The sequence below is a fragment of the Homo sapiens genome, chromosome 5, assembly GCF_000001405.40.
Source record: "Homo sapiens chromosome 5, GRCh38.p14 Primary Assembly".
In the NCBI taxonomy this organism is placed as follows: domain Eukaryota; kingdom Metazoa; phylum Chordata; class Mammalia; order Primates; family Hominidae; genus Homo; species Homo sapiens.
The window spans coordinates 92,859,581-92,866,246 of record NC_000005.10 but is presented as its reverse complement, the minus strand read 5'-3'; the positions used below and the strand labels follow the sequence as shown (position 1 = coordinate 92,866,246).

Below are 6,666 nucleotides of genomic sequence, written 5' to 3'. Positions count from 1 at the left end.
GCCTCCCGGGTTCAAGCGATTCTCCTGCCTCAGCCTCCCGAGTAGCTGGGACTACAGGAGCCCACCGTCACTCCCAGCTAATTTTTGTATTTTTAGTAGAGATGGGGTTTCACCATGTTGGCCAGGATGATCTCTAGATCTCTTGACCTTTTAGAAAAGCCCCCACTTGCTTTTCTAAAAGGAAGGGAGAGGCATGGAATTCACACACATGAGGAAAGAGAGCGGATTTCCAAAAAGAAAATTGTTGGGGGGGTCATTATGAGGAAGCATAAATGAGGAGCAGCCATCTATTTATTAAACTTTAATTAGATTATTAGTTCCTGAGGCACAAGGAATACCTTCCCCCCACTCCCGCCGCCCCGAGACGGAGTCTTCCTCTGCCACCCAGGCTGGAGTGCAGTGGGGCCATCTTGGCTCACTGCAACCTCCGCCTCCCAGGTTCAAGCAATTCTCCTGCCTCTAATTTGCCTCTCTTGCCGGCTAATTCGTACTTTTAATAGAGACGGGGTTTCACCTTGTTAGCCAGGATGGTCTCGATTTCCTGACCTCGCGATCCGCCCGCCTCGACCTCCCAAAGTGCTGGGATTACAGGCATGAGCCACAGCCGCCTAGCTAGGAAAATCTCTTATGCTACTTTTTCAGCAGGATTCAATAATGCCTTGGACAAGTAGAAGGTCAGGTATTAGCTGGAGAAAAAGAGGGATGGAGACAGAGGTGGTATTATTTACTGAAATCATATGACTGGGTTACATGTGGTCCATGAATGCTGTCATTATTCTGATGCCCGTAAGTCAAAACCAGGTAAGCAGCACTCATTCTAGAAGGCTGCCTTAATGAGACTTGTGCACGGAGACTGCACAAACTGGAAAGTTCACACATTAACAAAGAATACATGTAATAATGCTCTTACTATAGTACATGATTAAAGGTATTCAGTAAGTTATAGTTATAGTATCAGAGTTAAGTCTTCTCCACTGGTACAGAGGAGCGTACTATCCCGGCCTTTAAAAAATATCCCCTTTGTTGATCATCCAGCCTGTCCAAAAGCTCCACAGAGGAACGATGTGGCCCTATATTTAATATCTTCCCACTGGTAAAGTAAGAATCAGTGATTCTTGAGTGATGCAGCAGATATCAGGCAGGCTCAGTTAAGTATCTGTACCATTTTAAAAATGATACAATGAATAATCCTGTCCAACTACTGTTTGAAAAACAAATAAATTGCTAATAAAATATATTAACTACAACAAAATTCCAGTCTTCCCCAACCCAGAAAATTTGTTAGGAAGTAAAAGCATTCACTAGACACATTGTGTAAGGAATATTTTCAGTGTTCTGGCTTTACTTAGTTATTTCCTCATTTCCAAGTTAAGCCAAACAAATACGAGGAAGATGACAATGCCAGGAAACTTGCCTCCATCCTCCTTTCCTATGACTGCACCTGCTGTCAGGGTGCTGACCAAAGTTGAAAGGTCAGTATTCACCTGTGGCAGATGTGCCTCATTATGATAAACACTTCGATGTTGGAAATGGTTCTGTTCACAGATAGTTTATCATTCAGGTGAGAAATAGAAATGTGAGAGAGCTTCACTGCTGGAAATCTTATTTCATATTTGAGTGCAATTAACCAGCTGATAAACAGGCTTTTGTTTTCCATCTGAATGGCCAATGCCCATTCATTTGGGATATGTCAAATGAGCAACAATAACAATAAAGTTTATGTATTTTGGCTCTCATTTGCTCTAAAACCTGCAGTAACCTCCTGCATTGGAATCAAGAACCTGAACTGAGTGTGCAAAATAATTATCTTCCAGAATCCACCTGGTGGTGAGGATATGGAAGATTATCTTGTTTTGAACTGGAAATAAGGAGTAAATAATGCATTTTTATTTCAATGGCTCTTTATTTTAGTGCAATCAGAACATGCTTGTAAGCCCTAGTATTCTATATTCCATATGCTTATATCACTTAAACACAGAGAAGATGTACTTCACCACATTTCTAAACATATTCTAATTTTAAAATTAGACAATATTGTCCTATGACAATATCATATTATCTGAAGTATCTTATAGCCATTTTCTAAACACTTATTGATAATACTGAGGACGTTCTGTCATTGCTTAATTTTGACCATAAACTCTAAATTTTGCATCTTCACTTTATTTTTCCTCCTCATCCATATATTTTCCAGCACACCATAGTCATCTCCTTTTTAAAAAATAAATCTAAACAGTAAGATCCTCTCTCCCTGTTTTGGCTTAATGTGGTATTTTCACAAATGTAGATGACACACGATTTCATTGTTTTTTTTTTCCTCACAGGGATGATTGAAAAGAAAAGCCACCTATATCCTCTTGCTTAGTTTCCCTTGACAAAAATGATTAAAGTGAGCTGTGTAGCCCTGTAACCATGGAACAGATTTCCTGTACAATGTTCATAGCTTTGGCAAAGTAATTATTATTGCCGCACAACTTCTGGTAGAATTTGTGAAATAATAGAAATTACATTATTAGCTGTTATGTATTGACTCAGACATATCTAGATCAGTGTAAGAAGATAAATCAATGTAGATTCTCATTTACTCTCCCTATAACTATTTACTAAGCATTACTACGTTCTATTTCCTTGATGATAGAAATATGAATAATGTGTGGCTTCAGCCTGAAGGATTTAACAATGTAGCATTTTTTGTTATACTGGTAGAAATAGCATAGATGGTGATTAGTAATGATTTGGGTTTGTTTTGGGGAAGAATTACTGGGAAACAACAGAGACCTGTATATATGTCACCTGGGAAATCCACACTAGTTTGATTTTTTACCTTATTTCGCCTTCTACCACAGTTTTACCTAAAAGTGATATTGCTTAATTATTGATGCCTATCACCCAAATCTTATTTATATTTTAGAGAGCATCTAGGTTGTCAAAAGATTTCAAAAGACAGACATAGAATGGTGGGACCAAACTTTAAGCAAATGTAGAAGACTTTTCTTAGTTACTCCTCTGTCTGAAAAAGTGTTATGTGCGCTTTATAAAATATGTTCATTAACATAAAATATATGCTTTTCTTGTAGGGTTGGCACATGCATATATATTAGTTACAGATAATATACAATACACATATATACACACACATACTTAAGCACATTTATACACCAATGTGAATCATGTGGTATAGACCATTTTTAAAAAGTGCTACCTCAAATCTAAATAATACATCACTGTGGAGTGGTGTTAGTCATAGGGAAAGATGATATGAAATTCAACGTAGCCGGGCGCGGTGGCTCACACCTGTAATCCCAGCACTTTGGGAGGCCGAGGTGGGAGGATCACGAGGTCAGGAGATCGAGACCACCCTGGCTAACACAGTGAAACTCCGTCTCTACTAGAAATGGTGGCGGGTGCCTCTAGTCCCAGCTACTCAGGAGGCTGAGGCAGGAGAATGGCGTGAACCCAGGAGACGGAGCTTGCAGCGAGCTGAGATCGCGCCACTGCACTCCAGTCTGGGCAACAGAGCGAGACTCTGTCTCAAACAAAAAAAAAAAAAGAAAAAGAAAAAGAAAAAAAAGAACAAAAAAAGAAATTCAATGTAAAATGAAATATTGAATTTGCTCTAGTAAAAGGAGAGGAGAAGGATTATGTATGTCCCTAATAAGAAAAACAGGGAAAGGTAAAAGAAACAATATAGAGGACTTAATTTGGTTGATAAATTTAGGAATTGTAAAATTCACCCAGTACTTTCACTACAGCCAAAGAATTGGCATATGGTACTATTTTCTGTAGGCTGAAATATTTATAATGAAAAATGACTGCTCTTACTATAAATTTATTTTCTCAGCAGCAATTACTTTTACAGTGTCAGTGACTCTTGATTTTTGTTGTGTAACACTGCTACAGTTTACTTGTTAACTATATTTGGTAAATAGCTATTATCAAGTAAGAAGTATTTGTTGACTTTTGTATTACTAGCCCTGGGCCAGGTTTTATACAACCTAGCAGAAATATAAGACATGGATCTCTTTCTGCAAGGCTACTCTAACATTATTGGGTAGTCCACTCTCTGGCAACACATTTGAAGATACGATTACTCATAATATGGAAAGGGGCATGTGCTGTTGCTACAGGAAGACAGAGTTTGCCTCTAAGGGCTTTTTAGAAACTTCAAAGGAAAACAGTACTAGCAAGCAAAGCCCTTGCTCCTGGCCTGCATCTTACAGAGCTCTGCCCTTTGGAATGCCTTCAACCAAAATTTTTAAGGTGCTTTCTGGGAGCTAAGACCTACAGAAGCCAGCAGTGCCACCTAGACAAGGTCTATGAGCCTAGATTATAATATTTTTTCATACATTTTTGAAATATTTAGAATAATTTCTAAACTTGAAGGGAATTATTGGATAACTAGAATATCTATATCAATGTCCTTTGGCTAGTAAAGGCTGTTTTTGAAAGGAGCTACTGTTGCCAAGATAGGCCAATCCCACAAACATATATGCATAAATAACCACAAGGTAGTGACGTAATTCAGGCACTCAGGATGGTCATTGTTCACGCACTGAGTGCCATGCTTCATGCTCCATATTTAGACAATTTTAAATTGCTTAGAATTAGTGGAATATACAGCATTGCTCTTGTTTCTGTGCCAGTGTACTATAAAAGTTGCAATTGCTCTTTGAGTAATTATCACTATTGTTACTTTAATACTTTACCTTACTGCAAATGTAAAATTTTACCTATCTTAAATACTATTAAGAAAGTCCTTTCCCCAAAATTATTTAGATATAATTAATATTCCACCACAAGAAGAAACGATAATCTTTGATATTATCATCCAGTGAATTCAAACCTATATGCTTTCTGCATGTTTTAGAATCCTGGCCTGATAGTTAGTGAATGAATATGGTGATAATGTAATGTCAATAAACTAATAACTTAGTAATAGCTCTAAATTTGAAATTAATTTGTTATAATAATTAATATTTAAATTTCTTATTAAATTAAAAACGTCTTTCCTTTTACCTTTTCTGTTTTACTTTTCTTATTTGGAAGAAAGCCTAAGAAATTATTTGTGATCTCAGCTTATAAACTTCACATTTTAATGGGAAAGTAAATGACAAAATAAAATTGTGCCTGAAATAAGTGGTTCAGTCTAACGTATCTTCTATCATAACGTAAAGAAATTTTTTAGGCACCCAGCTGCCCCACTAATTATTTATCGTTTTAAAATGACCATTTTTCGCATGTTAATTTTTGTGTCATAGGCCACATAAAGATGGATAGGCTCTTGTAAAATGGCCAAGAAAAAAATTCTCTGATCATACTTGATTCTTGTAATCATCAAAGGGTATTTGCTTTCAAAAGAATTATTATACTTCCAGCTTGCCTGCCTTGGAGAATGTTAATTAAGTCCAAATTATTTTATGACAGAGATTTTGCCATTTTTAGAGACAGAATAAGTGAAGCAGAAGTAACAAAAATAAAATGAGAAATGAAAAAAATAAAGTTTGATATTTACCTGCAAATCGCTTATCTTTCAATTAAGCATTGGTTTACCTTTGCAGAAATGTCTCCATTTACAGATGCCTACTAAATAATAAGCTGTTTTCCTTTCCTGCTCGTACACAATTCAGTCTTTTTAAATCCATGCTTGTGCTCAGCACTTTCTTAAGAGCTTTGTGTTATCTCTGGTATCTAGTACTTACAAGGAATCACTTTCAGTCTGTGTGGCCCAGTTCCTAACAGTCTATCGATTCATTGAATTTCCTAAATTTCAGAAAGAGACCAATTGATTCTTTATGCTGCTTGGCAGAGCGATTCTTACTTTTTGTCTGTTTCTTCCCAGCATCAATCTTAAGAAGAAAAGGTTTTCCTTGCATCCCTCTGAAGGGTTTACTAAATCCTACATCATCAAGAACATTTTAAAGCTTTATTTTGTCTGTTATTTAAAGTGGAAAATGCTGTCCCTTAAGACACTGGCACTCTGCCATTGCCTCCAGAATATTTCATGGTTTACTGTCAGGACTGCTGCTTTTTCTAGAAGAACATATGGGCCATTTTGGAGACGTATTCTGCAATATTCAGATGCTGAACATGTTATCTATTTACATTTGGTCTTCAACAAATAATTTTTCTGGAATTTTAATATCTTATGAGTTCTTTGAAACTTTCTGAAATGTATATTGGAACATGATGGCACCAAAGGAGGCTTGTGATTTGGAAGTAGAAAGCACTACATTTCATGGGAGCAGAATTTAGTAACATTAGAATATATTCCTGTCATGTTATTATATTTCTTATTGAAGTGTTACTCTTTTAAAAATTTTTTTAGTGATTCCAAAGAGTTACTATAAAATATTGAGAGTAAGAGGAAAAAAATCTTGTGTTCTGTGATGTTGATAAATAAGTCACTGGAATGCACTAGGAGTTGGTGCACACTTGAGGATGATTGTGTCATTAAAATTGCATCCAGTCAATCTGGGAATACCTTACCTGAATTGTTCTGTAAACACTCTTCTCACTGAAACATCTATTTGGTCTGTGTGTTTTGAGTCAAAGGAATCAAACAAAACATGGTTAAAACAATTAAAATTGAAGTAAGACTACATTCTGAAAGGAAGTGCTAATTCCAATTCTAAGAGATAATTGTTTCCCACTTTTGCACAGTATTTT

At 36.4% G+C, this 6,666-nt stretch overlaps 1 annotated feature.

The window, feature by feature from the left end:
• Positions 1,291–1,585: a silencer, noted in NCBI's record as "tiled region #14810; HepG2 Repressive non-DNase unmatched - State 24:Quies". NCBI's record gives its function as "represses a minimal TATA promoter and a strong SV40 promoter by Sharpr-MPRA in HepG2 cells {active_cell/tissue: HepG2}" and the evidence as "EXISTENCE:reporter gene assay evidence [ECO:0000049][PMID:27701403]".